Here is an 18460-nt window from a genome sequence, read left to right on the forward strand (position 1 = left end):
TCTGAAGTGCCAGGTCACGTGAGTTGATGACTTTTGTAACCCTGGGCTGACCTGAAACAAAACAAGACCTCTTTCGGTTGCTAGGTATTGCCTGCAAGGATGCTGGAGGGCTGCCCAGGTCTTGTTCAGGGACTTCAGTCTTTGTGGCAAGCAGAGTACAGAGCCGTTGGATTAAAGACTGAGTTAATTAGGTCACAGGATGCTCTTTGATGGGGGGAAAGCAGCAAACTATGATGGGACTTTTAGCGCAATCTGGTTTAACAGATTAGCCAAGTGTATCTGCTCCATGCTGTAGGCACACAACAATGACTGAGAAATCTTTTCTGCCCACAGGAAAAGGTTACAGTTGGGGTAGGGTGCATCAGTGAGTCAAGTCTATGAATAACTAGTAAAGGAAGGCAGCACATAAAGTAACAATGCAAGTAAATACAAAGCAAGAATTATGGTGTATGCAATGAGTTTTGGCAGAGCAATTGAGGTCAAAATTAAAAGCAAAGAAAGGAGATCCCTTTAGGTTGCAAGTTGAGAATTTAGAACTTTTCTGCATCAAGCTGCCAGAGTGGCCTTTAAAAAGAAATGCCAATCCCAAATCCTTAAACAACCTTTAATAGCTTTCCCATTGCACTTGGTACAAAATCCCAAATCATCGCTATGGCCGAAAGACCTGCCTGAGGTGGGTCCTTGCTTACCTGCCCAGCCTCACTGGCACCACTCTCTACACTTGCACCATACTGTTCCTCTCTGTGAGTTTCTCTCATCTAGGCCTTTTACGCGTGCTGTTCCCTCTGCCCACTTTACCACCCTGCCCCACTTTTGTACCCCTTTATCCAGTTCATCTGTCCCTCCCATCTTGCCTTCAAATTACTTCCTCTTGTGTCCGCAATTGGTGGGTTCTTGGTCTCCCTGACTTCAAGAATGAAGCCGCGGACCCTCAAGGTGAGTGTTAGAGTTCTTAAAGATGCCGTGTCTGGAGTTTGTGCCTTCAGATGTTCAGATGCATCTGGAGTTTCTTCCTTCTGGTGGGTTCGTGGTCTCGCTGACTTCAGGAGTGAAGCTGCAGACCTTCCCAGTGAGTGTTACAGCTCTTAAAGGCCTCACGTCCGGAGTTGTTCGTCCCATCTGGTGGGTTCGTGTTCTCGCTGGCTTCAGGAGTGAAGCTGCAGACCTTCGCGGTAAGTGTTACCGCTCATAAAGGCTGCTCAGACCCAAAGACTGAGCAGCTCCAAGATGTATCCCGAAGAGCGAAAGAACAAAGCTTCCACAGCCTGGAAGGGGACCTATCTGACCCCACACACATCTTGCTGATTGGTCCATTTTACAGAGAGCTGATTGGCCCATTTTGACAGGGTGCTGATTGGTGCATTTAGGAACCTTGAGCTAGACACAGAAGTTCTCCAAGTCCCCATTAGATTAGCTAGACACAGAGCACTGATTAGTGCATTTACAAACCTAATTTAGCAAGACATAGAGTGCTGATTGGTGCGCTTACAATCCCTGAGCTAGACACAGAGTGCTGATTGGTGCATTTGCAATTCTCTAGCTAGACATAAAAGTTCTCCAAGTCCCCACCAGATTAGCTAGATACAGAGTGCTGATTGGTGCATTTACAATCCTCTAGCTAGACATAAAAGTTCTCCAAGTCCCCACCAGATTAGCTAGACACAGAGTGCTGATTGGTGCATCCACAAACCCCGGAACTAGACACAGAGTGCTGACTGGCACATACAGAATCCTCCAGCTAGACATAAAAGTTCTCCAAGTCTCTACCCGACTCAGGAACCCAGCTGGCTTCCCCAGTGGATCCTGTGCCAGGGCCACGGGCAGAGCTGCCTGCCGGTCCTTTGCGGGGCGCCTGCACTCCTCAGCCCTTGGGCGGTCGATGGGACCGGGTACCACGGAGCAAGGGGCAGCGCTCATCAGGGAGGCTAAGGCCCAGTGGGAGCCCACCAGGCGGGCGGGGGGGCGTGGCTCCGCCATGGCGGGCTGCAGGTCCCCAACCCTGCCCCATGGGGAGGTGGCTGAGGCCTGGTGAGAATTCGAGCGTGGTGCCGGCGGGCCGGCAGTGCTGGGGGACCTGGTGCCCCCACCGCAGCTGCTGGCCAGGGTGCTAAGCCCCTCACTGCCAGGGCCTGCCGTGGCCGGCAGCTCCCAGTGTGGGGCGCACCCAGCCTGCGCCCACTGGGAACTCGCACTGGCCTGCGAGCGCTGTGCGCAGCCCTGGTTCCCGCCTGTGCCTCTCCCTCCACACCTCCCGGCAAGCAGAGGGAGTCAGCTCCGGCCTTGGCCGGCCTAGAGAGGGGCTCCCACAGTGCAGTGGCAGGCTGAAGGGCTCCTCAAGCATGGCCAGTGCTGACGCCAAGGCCGAGGAGGTGCTGAGAGCAAGCAAGGGCTGCTAGCACGTTGTCACCTTTCACTCTGAGAAGCTTCCCTTGGAAATAAGGTCCACTATCATCAGATTCTTTACTTTGTTCCCCATGTACTTATCGAAATTTTTAAGATACTGTTATTTGCGTGATTGTTGATTACCTCTTTAAATCCACCTGTTCCATAATGACACTCTTTCGCCATAGGGCATATAACAATTTGTAATATATATTTATTTATACAGTTGTCTGTGTTTATGTCTGCTGGCCCCACCTGTTTTTAGGCTCTATGCAGACATCATTTCATTTCCCATTATATCCAATGTTTAGCACAATGCTTGGCATATGGTCAATGCTTGATAAATACTTGTCAAATTAATGTTCCAGATCAGTCGGTCTAAGACACATGCTGAGGAATAGTGGGAAACAGGCTGGGTAAAGTAGGATGGAGTCAGATTGTGAGGGGCCAGAAGCTTTTCTCTTTTCCATTCTTTTGGGTTTTTTTTTGTTTGTTTGTTTGTTTTTGTAGGTATGGGGTCTCACCATGTTGCGTAGGCTAATCTCAAACTTCTTTCGGGCTCAAAATGTCCTCCTGCCTCAGCCTCTCAAAGGGCTGGGATTACAGGCGTAAGCCACTGCACCTGGCTCAGAGGATTTTCTACCCAATTGGTTAGACCTGTGCTGTACATACAGAAGCCACTGGCCCCACATGCAGCTATTGAGCACTTGAAATGTAGCTAAGGACTGAGGAATGGAATTTTACATTTTATTTAATTTTAATTAATTTACATGTTCTAACTTGGGTATGTGAATCTACTTTTTCAACTATAATTTTATGAAATCTAACTACAGATCAAGTGTTTCTGGTGAAAATTTAGTGTCTGAATTGAGAAGTACTACAAATACACTGAAATTTGAGACCTTAGAAAAAAATGTAAAACATCTTGTAATTGTTTCCTTTAATTATATGTTGACATGGTAATAGTTTTGATATATTTGGTTAAGTACAATATATTTTTAGATTAATTTTACTTATTCTAGGTGTATACCCAAAAGAATAGAAAGCAGGGACTCAAACAAATACTGGTACAGTAATGTTCATAGTAGCATTTTTGATAATATCCCAAAGGTGGTAATACTCAAATGTCCATTAATAGCTGAACAGATGTATTAGTCCATTTTCACACTGCTATAAAGAACTGCCTGAGACAGGGTAATCTGTAAAGGAAACAGGTTTAATTAACTCACAGTTCTGCATGGCTGGGGAGGCCTCAGGATACTTACAATCATGGCAGAAGGCAAAGAAGAAGCAAGCCACGTCTCACATGGCAGCAAGAGAGAGAGAGAGAGAGAGCAAAGGAGGGGAAGTGCCACACTTTAAAATCATCATATCTCATAAGAACTCACTATTGTGAGAACAGCATGGGAGAAACTGCCCCCATGGTACAATCACCTTCCATCAGGTCCCTCCCTTGACATATGGGGACTACAATTTGAGATGAGATTTGAGTGGAGACACAGAGCCAAACCATGTTATTCCATCCCTGGAATAACATCCCCTCCCAAATGTTATGTACTTTTCACATTTCAAAACCAATTATACCTTCCCAACAGCCCCTCAAAGTCTTAACTCATTCCAGCATTAACTCAAAAGTCCAAGTCCAAAGTCTCATCTGAGACAAGACAAGTGCCTTCTGCTTATGAGCCTGTGAAATTAAAAGCAAGTTAGTTACTTCCAAGATACAATAGGGGGTACACGCATTGGGTAAATGTTCCCATTCCAAATGGGAAAAAATTGGCAAAAACGAAGGGGCCACAGGCCCCATACAAGTCTGAAACCCAGCAGGACATTCATTAAATCTTAAAGTTCCAAAATAATCTCTTTTGACTCCATGACTTAGATCCAGGGCATGCTGATGCAAGGGGTGGGCACCCAAGGCCTTGGGCAACTCCACTCCTGTGGCTTTGCAGGGTACAGCCCTCCTTCTGACTGCTCTTACAGGCTGGCATTGAGTGCCTGTGGCTTTTCCAAGCACACGGTGCAGGCTACTGGTGGATCTACCATTCTGGATTCTGGAAGGTGGTGGCCCTTTTCTTACAGCTCCACTAGGCAGTTCCCCAGTGGAAATGGCGTGTGAGGTCTCCAACCCCACATTTCCTTTCTGCATTACCCTAGTAGAGGTTCTCCATGAGGGCTCTGCCCCTGCAACAGACTTCCACCTAGACATCCAGGCATTTCCATACATCCCCTGAAATCTAGGCGGAGGCCTCTAAAGCTCAATTCTTATCTTCTGCATGCCAGCAGACCCACCCAACTTCATGTGGAAGCTGCCAAGTCTTGGGACTTGCACCCTCTGAAGCAATGGCCCAAGCTGTACCTTGGCCCCTTGTAGCGATGGCTAGAGCTGGAGTAGCTGGGATGCAGAGCACCAAGTCCTGAGGCTGTACAGGGTGCGGAGTCCTGGGCTTGGCCCATGAAACCATTTTTCCGTCCTAGGCCTCTGGGCCTGTGATGGGAGGGGCTGCTGCAAAGATCTCTGACATGCCCTGGACACATTTTCCACATTGTCTTAGCTATTCATATTCAGCTCCTTGTTACTTATGCAAATTCTGTAGCTTGTTTGAATTTCTCCCCAGAAAATGGGTTTTTGTTTTCTACTGCATGGTAAGGCTGCAAATTTCCAAACTTTTATGCTCTGCTTCCCTCTTTTTTTTTTGAGATGGAGTTTCGCTCTTGTTGCCCAAGCTGGAGTGCAGTGGCGCAATCTCGGCTCACTGCAACCTCCACCTACCTACCAGGTTCAAGCGATTTTCCTGCCTCAGCCTCCCAAGTAGGTGGGATTACAGGTGTGCACCACCACGTCTGGCTAATTTTTTGTATTTTTAGTAGAAACGGGGTTTCACCATGTTAGCCAGGCAGGTCTCAAACTCCTGACCTCAGGTGATCTGCCTACCTCAGCCTCCCAAAGTGCTGGGATTACAGGCATGAGCCACTGTGCCTGGCCCCTGCTTCCCTTTTAAACAGAAGTTTCAGTTTCAGACAATCTCTTTGTGAATGTGTATGACTGAATGCTTTCAGAATCAGCCAGGTCACCTCTTGAATGCTTTGCTTAAAAATTTCTCCTGCCAGATACCCTAAATCATCTCTCTCAAGTTTAAAGTTCCACAGATCTCTAGGGCAGGAGCAAAATGCTACCAGTCTCTTCACTAAAGCATAGCAAGAGTGATCTTTACTCTAATTCCCAATCAGTTCCTAATCTCTATCTGAGACCACCTCAGCCTGGACTTCATTGTCCATATGAGTATCAGCATTTTGGTCAAAACCATTCAGAAAGTCTCCAAAAAGTTTCAAGCTTTTCTTCATATTCCTGTCTTCTTTTGAGCCCTCCAAACTGTCCCAACCTCTGACCATTACCCAGTTCCAAACTCACTTCCACATTTTGAGATATCTTTATAGCAGTACTCCACTCCTGATACAAATTTTCTGTATTAGTCTATTTTCTTTTCTTTTTTTTCTTTTTTCTTTCTTTTTGAGACAGAGTCTTGCTCTGTCACCCAGGCTGGAGTGCAGTGGCGTGATCTTGGCTCACTGCAAGCTCCACCTCCCAGGTTCATGCCATTCTCCTGCCTCAGCCTCCCGAGTAGCTGGGACTACAGGCACCCGCCACCACACCTGGCTAATTTTTTGTATTTTTGGTAGAGACAGGGTTTCACCACGTTAGTCAGGATGGTCTTGATCTCCTGACCTCATGATCTGCCCGCCTTGACCTCCCAAAGTGCTGGGATTACAGGCATGAGCCACTGCGCCTGGCCTGTATTAGTCTATTTTCATACTGCTATAAAGAACTGCCTGAGACTGGGTAATTTATAAAGGAAAGAGGCTTAATTGACTCATAGTTCTGTATGGCTGGGGAGCCCTCAGGAAACTTAAAATCATGGCAAAAGGTGAATAGGAAGCAAGGCACATCTTACATGGCAGCAGGAGTGAGAGAGAGAGAGAGTAAAGGGGGGACGTGCCACACTTTTAAACCATCAGATCTCATGAGAACTTACTCACTATCACAAGAAAGGCATGGGGGGAACCACCCCCATGATCCAGTCACCTCCTACTAGGTCCCTCCCTTGACACGTGGGGATTCGAGATGAGATTTGGGTAGCGACACAGAGCCAAACCATATCAGTGGATAAACAAAATGGGTGAATATACAATGGAATATTATTCAGCCTTAAAAAGGAATGCAATTCTGACACATGCTGCAACATGATGAACCTTGAAAACATTGTTAAGTGAAATAAGCCAGATGCTAAAGATCACATATTGTGATTCCACTTACATGAAAAACCTAGATAAGCAAATTTATAGAACCAGAAAGTATAGTGGTTACCAGGGGCTGGAGGGAGGAGGGAATGGGTAGTTATTTTTTAATGAGTATAGAATTTCTGTTAGGATGATGATAAAGTTCTGGAAATGAATAGTGGTGACAGTTGCATAACATTGTGAATGTAGTTAGTCCACTGAATTATACACTTTAAAATGGTTAAAATGGTAAATTTTATGTTATATACATTTTACCACAATGAACAAATTTTTTAATTAGTTTATTTCTTTTTATTTTTAGAAACTATAGCCACTGCCAAGGTACAGCTTGGGCCATTGCTTCAGAGGGTGCAAAATTTAAATTACATATGTGGCTTTCTACCTTGGGCCTGACAGGTAGCGAGAAGAAGAAGGTCCATTCTACCATCAATGAGGTGGTGACCCGAGAACACATCATCAACATTCACAAAGGTGCCTGTGGAGTGAACTTCAAAAAGCATGTGCCTCTAGAACTCAGAGAAATCTGGAAATTTGCCATGAAGCAGGTGAGAACTCCAGATGTGCATATTAGTATCAGGCTCCACAAAGCTGTCTGGCCCAAAAGATTAAGGAATGTCCCATACCATATCCATGTGCAGTTGTCCACAAAAAAGTAATGAGGATGAAGAATCACCAAATAAGCTCTGTATTTTGGTAGCTATGTACCTGTCACAACCTTTAAAAAATCTGCAGTCAATATGGATGAGAACTAACTGCTGATTGTCAAATAAAGTAGCACTGCAAAAATGAATAAATGAGTAATATGGCTCTCGCATTGTATTCTTTCTCTCTCTTTCTCTCTTTCTTCTTTTCTCTTTCTTTCCTTCTTTCTTTTCCTTCTTTCCTTCCTCTCTCTTCTTTCTTCTTTCTTTCCTTTCTTTCTTTCTTTCTCTTTCTTTCTTTCCTTTCTTTCTCCCTCTTTCTTTCTTTCTTTTCTTTCTTTCCTTCTTTTTTTCTCTCTCTCTCCCTCCCTCCCTCTCTCCTTCTCTCTCTTTCTCTCTTTCTTTCTTTTTTTTCTTTCTTTCTTGACACAGTCTCGCTGTGTCACCCAGGCTGGAGTGCAATGGCACCATCTCAGCTCACTGCAACCTCTGCCTCCCAGGTTCAAGGGATTTTCCTGTCTCAGCCTCCCAAGTAGTTGGGACTATGTGGGTGTGCCACCACGTTCCGCTAATTTTTGTATTTTTTTTGTAGAGAAGGGATTTTGCCATGTTGTCCAGGCTGGTCTTGAACTCCTGAGCTTAAGTGATTGGCCTGCCTCAGTCTCCCAAAGTGCTGGGATTATAGGTGTGAGCCACTGCGCCCCGCCTTCTCATTGTATTTCTATTGGCAGCACTGGGTTAGACAATGGGGAACTCTGGGAGAGGATGAGTGAATTTCTCTGATGAAGTTTTTCACTAATGTCTGTGGCACCAGGAGGGCAAGAAGGCAGAAGATAATTCTTGTAAGGAGGGCAAGAAGGCAGAAGATAATTCTTGTAAGGAGGGCAAGAAGGCAGAAGATAATGATAAACCCAAGAATTTAGGATTTGGTAAAATATGTCATGTATAAAAACGAACATGTGGAAAAACCTGGTGGGAAGGGGAAACACAGTAGGATTTCATCTGGGAAGGACTTTCCTTGTAGCTGTAATTAAAACCTTCTAGAGATAATGTTTTCTCTGCTGTAATGGGGTAACTTGGCAATAAGCCCAGTGCGATGTCCCTTATTTGTTGTGGGATCAAATGCGTTAATATGTATGAAAGGGCTCTTTAATCTGAGCTGAGAGGAAGAGATAAGGTGTCAGATAAGGTTAATCACAAGTACGAGATTTCTTCAGTTGTTTTCATAGTGATTCGTCCTGTCTGCTCTGGATTTTGCAGAGACACCTTAGCTTTTGGGGGATTTTCTGCCAGTGACATATTTTCTACTTTATATAAAACTGTTTGAAGGATTATCCATTATGACTGCATGTTACCTCAACTCCTCCAAAACTGCACCATCAACTATGTTAAGAATGTTGCCCTTGGAGAATGATTATCTTTGCATGTTCAACATTGACCTGCTATTTGTGAGATTTTCAACCACCCAGAAGCCAGGCAAGTACTGACCCAAACTCACAAATGTGCTCTGGGTCCAGGGACCGGCTGTGGGAGAAGGTGGACGGACAATGATTAGACACAAATTTGATTGTTCAACTTAGTCTGATGCTCAGGGAAGCCAGTGTGATACATGACCCAGGACTGTTATAGGGCTGATCTTGTGGGTTCTCAGAGGTTTGAACCACATTGGACCCTTGGCCCTGGCCCCTAAACATCCTTACAATCCTCCACACAGTTGAGGAAACAGTCCAGCTCTTCAGGCCTGCCCAGATTAAGGATGGCTTATGGTCAGAATGACTTATGCCTCTTCAGAATTAAAATTTCACTTGAGTGGGCTGAAACTGGCTCTTACTCTGGGAGTATCAGGGAAAAAAGTTTGCTGGAGAAAAATGATAATATAAGTTTAATACTCTACAAAATAATGCTGGGGTGTTCTCCACCTAAATGAAATTAAGAGCATAGGAAGTGCTGAAAAGTTTGCACCAAATAAGTTTTTATTTATCTTGATTGGTCTATCATTTATCTATTTAGATATTTACATTTATTACTGGTTTTGATTAATTTAGTGTAGCTTAGTTCTTTTCAAAGATCCCAGGCCAGGCGCAGTGGCTCACGCCTGTAATTCCAGCACTTTGGGAGGCCAAGGTGAGTGGATCACTTGATGTCAGGAGTTCAAGACCAGCCTGACCAACATGGTGAAACCCCATCTCTACTAAAAATACAAAATTAGCCGAACATGGTGGTGCACACCTGTAATCCCACCTACTCTGGAGGCTGAGGCAGGAGAATAGCTTGAACCCAGGAGGCAGAGGTTGCAGTGAGCCAAGATCATGCCATTGCACTCCAGCCTGGGGGACAAGAGCAAAACTCCATCTCAAAAAAAAAAAAAAAAAAAAAAAATCCTTGTAAGGCCCAAGATTGTGTCCTGGCCTTAGCACTCTAGTAATTATCAAAAGTTTGTTCTTGCACCCATGTCTTTATAGCATTGCTGCTGGTCTGGGATGAGGGATGTATATTTTTAAAACCATCTAAATTCCTACATCCTATCCCTGGATAGTTCAGTAGTGTCTCTGATGAGACTTTCTCTGTAGCTTCCACCGTGATGGCCTGATCATGGCGAGGACTTTGCATTATGTTCCTAGATATCACAGGTAATGGAGTTACTAGAGTAAATTATTCCTTTTTATTAGACTGAGAAGAAAGCGATTTCTGTGCTCCACTATATCTAAGGCATTCTGTGGCTATGTTTTTTCTTGACAAAGTAGGAATTAGAGATGGTTATCTACAAAAAAGGAGAAGGTCCATTTTGGCCTGAGTCTCTTAAGTAACCATTGGTTTAACTTAACCTGGTAATGATTCTAGCATCTGCCATCCTCTTCAATGAGAAATATGAGCATTACACAGTTTCCCAGGGAAATGAATGAGGCGTGGGGAAGAGGTGCTCACCCCTTAAACGCTTTAATTGTCTGAAAATAACTACTACAATTTGGCTTCTGCCAGCCACGGTGGCGTTCACCTGTAATCCCAGCTACTTGAGAGGCTGAGGCTGGAGGATCCCTTGAACCCAGGAGTTTGAGGCCAGCCTGGGCAATGTAGTGAGATCCTGTCTCAAAAAAAAAAAAAAAAAAAGATTTGGCTGGTCACAGTGGCTCACACCTGTAATCCCAGCACTTTGGGAGGCCGAGGCGGGTGGATCACGAGGTCAGCAGTTTGAGACCAGCCTGGCCAACATGGTGAAACCCAGTCTCTACTGAAAATACAAAAATTAGCCTGGTGTGGTGGCAGGCACCTGTAAACCCAGCTACTCGGGAGGCTGAGGCAGGAGAATCGCTTGAACCCGGGAGGTGGAGGTTGTGGTGAGCTGAGACTGCGCCATTGCACTCCAGCCTGGGTGACAGAGCAATACTCTGTCTCAAAAAAAAAAAAAAAAAAAAAAAAAAAATTTGCCTGCCAGCAGACTATTACTAGTCACTATTTGATAGGTTAGCAAGCTTGTTGATTCATTTTTTTCCTATGTGATGCCAGAGAATACATTTCAGCTAAAGGTGTTAAGGGATTAAAAGGTACCTAAATCTTTAATCTAGGAATATCTATTTTTCAATAGGTGTCAAAGCTCTTTATTCTTTTGGATTGTTCTAGGGGAGCCACAGCGGTATTTTATGTATGTGGCTGTAATGTCTGCACCCTAAATTGTCACGGTGTAAATATTTCTGGGTTCTAAATTTGTGGTAGCAGTTGCTATAGTTGTTGGTTTGTTTTTTTCTGACAGAGTTAAATTATGATTGTGAATTGTGTCCCACCTCCTTGTCTATGGGACAATACAAGGTATTTTCGTAAAGCCAAGTATTAATATTTACTCACTAACATTAAATGAATTATAGGAGGGGCAGAAACCACACTATTGGCTGTTTCTTTTTTCTAAAGTGTGCATAAAATCCCAAATCCACCTACTGCTTGGTCTGAATGAATGCAGATTTCAAAATCATCTAAGCAACGTTATAGCATTTAGCTCTCAAAATGAAAGGAAGGCAATTGACTCTAAGTATTCTAGATTAATAATTCAAACTGTTTTAAAAAATATATCCCATACATTTCTTGCCTACTTGAATATACATCTTTTCTGTGGTTGTGTAATTTTGTTTCTGCTTTTTTAACTTAATAGTTAATTATAATATTTTTCCATGTTGCTATATTATCTATCTTTTAAAAATGTCCACTAAATAATTATACTACAGCCATTGCTTTAGCCATTGGTGTTCAATTCAAATTTCTAGGCCTTGAATCAAACCTATTGAATCAAAAATACTGAGAGTAGACTCAAGAACCTCCATTAAATAAATTCTTCTGTTTTATCAGAGGTAAAGCCTGAGGTTCAGGGATAGGAGTGGCCTCAGGAGTGCCTGTACTGCTGAATAGGAAAGTCATCATTTCCACCATTGTAAATAATATTGCAATGAATATTGTTGTGAACATATCTTCTTCCTTCTTTGAATAATGTCCTTTTTTGGGCTATGCCATATTTCTTCCTAAATAGGAAGAACCATAAGTATGCAGAATTTTAATCTACTTTTCCTGACTTTCTTATATTCTTTTCCCTGATTAATTTATCCACAAATATCTCCAACAATGGTAAATCTGATTTTAGCTACATTTTAAACTGTGAATATGAGACAGTCAATAGTTTAAATTTGACAAAGTTAACAGAAAAGATCAAATTCTTCCATACTTTACCTAGCAGACTAACCAGAACAGGAAAGAAGGCAGCGAAGGTGCAGTGGATCTGCAGCCACTGCTGAGGAACTGATAAGTGGTCGTACTGTAGCATTAACTAACGTTCGTGAATGTTCTTTATACTTAGAGAGCCATTTCACATTCATTACCTGATAAGGTTCTCCCCACTCTGTGAGTAGGTATGATTATTCCCTTTGTGTTTATGAGGAAACCAAGGCTCAAGATTGCTCAACAATTTGCCCTGAACAACTAGTAATTGTTTGAATGTGGAAGATTTTCTGCCTCACATCATACTCAAGTAGCTGTTTATTGGGGATGCCCTTTTCTTAATATAATATCCAGAGAGCTTTTCTTCTTTATATCTAATTTTACTGTTGTTTTAAAAATTAGGCAATTACAGTTCCATCAGCTCAATTCAAAACCTAGATAATAAGCAACATTTAGTTGCAAGGTACTCTAGGGAATACAAAAATGAGAGGGCACAACCCTGGGCTTTTGGGAACTTTGATCTGGGAATTGTAAACAGCATGTTTAAAACAAGACAGAACCAAGGACTGTAGAGGATTTTCTAATTTCTTCCTTTACAGTTGAGGAAACAGGTCTGGCATCAAGGATTCCCCACTTGAGTTACTGCAAATAATCCTTCGGTGCTGGTCTCCTGCTCCGGGCTGCAAGTTCCTCTAGGACAGGGCATGGCTTCCTTACGCCCATTGCTACACCCCGGTGTTTGTGCATGGGCAGGTACAGAGTGGGCACACATTTGATGCATCTTCACCTCAATTTCTTCCAAATGGAATATGCCTCCTGATATTTTTCTTTATGCAACAGGTATTTTCTTAGTTTCCATTATGTGGCATGCACTTTTTAGGCACTTGGGAGACCAGGGAACAAAACAGAAAATACTCCCTGCTCTTCTGGGGTCAAAAGATATAATCAAACTTTTGCCTTGCAGGAGTTTGCTACCTATGGGATATACTATATCATAGGAGTAATGGTCAGAGTGTCTCTGCTTCTAGCTTTAGCTCTATACACTTAGTGCTAAAGAGGCACATGACTTCTAACAGCTGAAGAAGTTTCAGGAATATATCCTTTACCTCCTTCTCTTAATCTCAACTCTACATAAATCTGAGCTTCATGTAAAATTTTTGAAATTTTAGGGAGCTATCAAGGCAAAGACATAGAGTGGTGAAAGTGTGTAAAATGTTCGGAGCTGGTAAATGAACCACGTGGCCAGAGTGTAGGGCTCATAGAGCCTTTAGTTGGAGATGAGGTTGGAGAGTTAGCTTGACACCACAGTAGAGGGTCTTGGAAGAAGCCATTTAGATTTTGGGTAACTGAGAGTGTTTTGTGGTTTTTGATAAAGAAAACAAATACGAACTTACCTGTGTTTAGGAAGGTTACTGTGGCAGGGGTGAGAAGGATGCACCAGGTAGGGCAAAACAAATTAGGAGGGTTTTACACAAGCGTGTTATGAGATAATGGAGTTATAGCAAGACAATAGGAAGGACAGGAGAGATGAGAGACTGCAGAAGTAGAAACGACATGAGTTCATGATGGCTGATGGGCTAGAGGAGAAAATTCTTGAAGGTGATAGAGAAGTTGTTGATGATAGAGAGGTTGTCGATGACATCAACCATTAAAAATGTAAGGCAATGAGGAGGTTTTTGATTGATGGATGTGAGTGATACTATAAATGCAATTTGGATATCTTGTACCAACTATCCAGGACAGGATAATTTACATCATTTATATCAAGTAATTCAATTCAACTCAACACATATTTCTGGTGTCCTTACCACCTGCTAAGTGGTAGAAATGATTTAAGTATGAGAAGAGAAATCCTGCTGTAAATGGCCTTCGGTATAATGAAGGAAGTAAATATAAGCATGAACAATAACAAAAGGTGAAATACCGTATGATATGTTATGAGAGGTATAAGAGCCATTGAGACCTGAAGAAGGAAAAGAATATAGTTATTTAGGGGCAAGCTGTAATGCTTAGAACAGGATAGGATAGAAAATACATTTTTTAAAATTGAAAAGCAATATTATCAATAAACATATAATAAATATTTTTTAAAAAAATCTATTAAAATATCAAATTCAGAGAAATCAAATAAAAGTGGACTCAGTGTGCAACCAAATGTAATGGATATACTGTGATAATCTTAGTGAATTCCTTCTAAGGGGCTGGTACAAGATGTGCAAGTGAAAATCTATGCCTATAAACAGCTAAGAAAAAGAGATAGGCAAAGATGATTTGGGATATTTTAACTTACTGTAGATTATCATTATAGACTTGAGCTCTACACACTTTGACAATCTGTTGATTCTATGCCTGAACACTTTGAAATACCACAGCCTAGGATTTTGATGGGCTGGTCAGTTCCCAGGCAACTTGGCTAATGAGAGCAACTTCTGTGGCACTGCAGTAGACCTTGTAAGCATAAGCAGCTGGACAAACCTCTTTGTGAGATTGTGAAACTCATGATTTTTTCAGCACTACTTTCCTGAGTTGATTTGATAATAACTGTTCTTCCAAACCATCAGTAGTAAGTTCTTTTAGTTAAGTGATAAATCATAGCCAGATTGTACTGCAAACTGGTTGATGTTTAACTTCTTCAGCATTCATAGATGTCTCTGAAAATTCATGTTTGGTTAGGTCCAGTATAGCATAATTTATTTTTCCTTAAAATTTCCAACCATTGCCTCAAAAGAGACAAACACTTTGGCCTGAGCATCAAGTATCATATTCGCCCGTTTTTTCTGACCAGGAAAATGTTTCAATCTATGTGTCTTCACTTCTCATTCATTTTTTTAAGTTTCCCATTTTCTCTGCATAAGTAGTTGCTTCCTGTCTTCCAGCTGGGCAAAAATTTCTAGTATCAGAAGTTAGGAGTATTGTGCATGATTATATTGGCTCTTTTGCTTTGTTGTAAACAATACACTTAGTTTTATCATACTATTTGTGAAGTTTTATTGAATAATTGTGAGGCAGGTTTCCAAAGGCACATTGATTATTGACTGCAGATTGAGATAGATCAGGAGGTTCAGTTCTGTGTCCTCTTAATAGAGTTGATAAATCATCATTTTCAATTGGAATGACATCTGACCACCAAACAGGAACACCTTGTACTCTCTTGCCTTTTGTCTCAGGATTAGGAGGGCAATTGGAACCACCAGCCAAAGCAGACGTCTCAGCATCTCTTAGCCTTTGCCCCATTCCAGACAGGATGCTAGAGGTAGACTCAGCTAAGAATTATTATCTGGTCTCCTTAGCAGAGGGTGTTGATTTTAAGTACCTTGGTTTTTTTTTGGAAACAGAGTTTTGCTCTGACGCCCAGGCAGGAGTGAAGTGGCGTGATCTTGGCTCACTGCAACCTCTGCCTCCTGGGTTCAAGAGGTTCTTATTCCACAGCCTCCTGAGTAGCTGGGACTACAGGCACGGGTCACCACACCTAGCAATTTTAAGTATACCTTAAAGTATGCTCTGATTCCAGATGTTTGCACTGAGAGTCTGTTAGTTTTTTTAAAAACCTATTTTTTTGTGTTTCTGTTTTATGAAAGTAATACGGCTTGTAGAAAATTTGAAAATACCAAGTTTGAAGAAAATAGCCCATCATATCACAACTCACTCACTGTTAATGTCTTATTGCCATCTTGTCTTTGTAAAACACAATTTATAGATACATCTTAGTTATTATACATATATAAACATTATATATGTATATTCCTAGTTTTTTACTTTAATTTTGCTAGCAAATTTTGTGTGTTTTATGTTTGAACAACAAATCACTTTGCGCTCTAGTAACCTCTGGACTTGTCTTGTTTCTCTCTGTTACACATTTACTTGACAAAAAGTACCTTTGTGTCAGGTCAGCATGGGACCTTTGGTTATATTTCATTTATACTGCAGATGTCCAGGAAGGGGGATTATACCATGTTTCCAGTATGTACTAGGTTAGAATATCCTAGGGGATATGTTTTCATTTTAAGAGCCTAATGTATAGTCTGATTACTGTTACCCAAGATAAGATAGAAAGTAGCAATTCTAATTTGTGCCAGAGGCTGTGAGTTTCTTAAAAGACCTGAACCTGATCTGGGGTCATTCCATTAAAGATACTCATAGAATGGTCTATATGCAGTCCTTAAACATGATTTTCAGAGAATTTACGATCATTTGGTCAAATGCTCAGAATCCCCCATTGATGTGGCCATATTTATATAAATCGATGGCCTGGTGGTCTTTAGGGCTTTAGGGTTGGCTGCAGTTATGGGTGGAGACTAGTTCATTCAGGGAGCTGGCAGTTAGGAGAATTAGCCACCATCTCCTCCACATTCTTTCCTTTTTTGGAACTTTGCTCATGTCTGCGTCAGTGGAGCCTAGACCTGGAATCTCAATTGTGTGATTTTGTTTCCAGAAATAAGTAAGTGGGCACTAGAGTAAGTTGTTATCAGGCTAAGCTGGAAAGAAATAAATAACATTTCTGAGCCTCACTGATTTAAATGGAATTCACTAGAATTCCAAGGTCTGTCAGTAATTAAAGACAACTCTGAAAATTCAGAGAAGATTCTATTTTTGTCTCAGTCACTTAAAGAACAGTCAGGTTAGCAGAAACTGACTGTGATGTCAGCTACCACTATTGCCAAATTCATACCTCATGTCAATTAAATTGCCAGTTACAGGCATTATGTACTTTCACAGTTTGTAAGACATTTCATTTTTCAATGATTTTTGTCTGACTGTATAGTCTTGGATTAAAGACTTCTGACAGAGGAAGGCACTGTAATAGAGCACAGCAGATACAGACACCCACGTGACGCATACTTTCAGTCATCAAGTCAGTTTCTCCACAGCAGCAGTCTTGGACTGTAGTCATGGTAGACGTAATGGAGTTGCCCAGGTCGTGCATCAACGCCGGCATGCTACTTGGTTCATCGACCAGCCCATCTGCTTCACAGGGAGGCTGGAAAAGACTCATCCCACTGGAAAAATGTTTATTCTTTCAGATGAAGAAGGAAAAAATGGAATCATTGAGTTAATGGAGCCCCTTCATGAAGAAATCTCTGGAATCTTGGAAGTGTTGGAAGAGTAAGCACCAAGGCAACCATCATGTGTGCATCTTATGTCCAGTTTAAAGAAGATAACCATCCTTTTGATCTTGGACTTTACAATGAAGCTGTGAAAATTATCCATGAGTTCCCTCAGTTTTATCCTTTAGGGATTGTGCAACATGATTTGATCTTGATGAATTTTCATATGATTGCAAATGAGCTACATTAAATACTATTAGAGGAGACCCTTCTTGTTTGAGGGAGATATTTCTGTGCTTTCTCATATTTAATTTTTTTGGTTTTTTTTTTTTTTGAGACAGTGTCTCACCCTATTGCCCAGGCTGGAGTGCAGTGGCTCAATCTTGGCTCACTGCAACCTCCATCTCCTGGGTTCAAGCGATTCTCATGCCTCAGCCTCCCAAGTAGCTGGAATTACAGGCACCTGCCTGCATGTCTGGCTAATTTTTGTATTTTCAGTAGAGACAGGGTTTCGCCATGTTGGCCAGGCTGGTTTCAAACTCCTGGCCTCAAGCGATCCACCCACCTTGGCCTCCCAAAGGGCTGGGATTACAGGCGTGAGCCACTGCACCTGATCAATTTGCTCTTTTTAAAATTTTATTTGTCTGGCTTTAGATATTCCAATCTAGAGTTTTTGGCCAAACTGATGTATTGACAGCTCTCACCTAAGTCCCATTATAAAGAATTGCTTCTACAATATATGGTCAGATTAGATGCAAGAATAAAGCAGTTGTCTGAGTTTAGGTTTCTATTTTATTAGTAAAAACTAAAATAGTACACAGTAAAAAATACAGCATAGTAAATATCAACATTCTCTAAATTTATAAACTTTAAAATCAGAACCTTTTACCGAAGTTGTGATGCACTGCTCAAGATATTGTTAACCAAGGAGGGTCAGAGGATGAGGGCATTTTCAGTTTAGGAGCAGCTACAGCATAGGGACTTCAGAGCCCTTTACCTTAACTTTAGAAGGTCTAAGAGAAGAATGGCAATAATAAACAGTAATCATAGCTAAATTGATTAAACATGGTCAACATACTGGGTACCGTGTTGACCACTTTAACGTGTTGTCGTCTTTCATCTTCATCACAACCTTACAAGGTAGTTAGAGTGATAATTCTCATTTTGTAGAACACAGAGAGGTTAGAGGCTTTTCCGAGGTTATGGAGCTACTAATGCCAGAGCCAAAACTTGAACTCAGGTCCGCTCAAATACAAACGCATGCTCTTCAAACACATGCTCTTAAACTGTAAGCTTTGTGCATTTCTTGTTGGTGATTAGCCCTTACATCTTGGCAAATCAAAGGCAAGGCCATTTTACCATGCTCAGATTCATTGACGTTCTCATAAAGCAACA

At 42.0% G+C, this 18460-nt stretch overlaps 2 pseudogenes; both read left to right on the top strand.

Moving 5' to 3' along the window:
* RPL31P33 (ribosomal protein L31 pseudogene 33) lies at positions 7077 to 7433 on the top strand (annotated as a pseudogene).
* RPA3P2 (RPA3 pseudogene 2) lies at positions 16839 to 17390 on the top strand (annotated as a pseudogene).

Source organism: Homo sapiens, chromosome 6, assembly GCF_000001405.40.
Source record: "Homo sapiens chromosome 6, GRCh38.p14 Primary Assembly".
Taxonomy (NCBI): domain Eukaryota; kingdom Metazoa; phylum Chordata; class Mammalia; order Primates; family Hominidae; genus Homo; species Homo sapiens.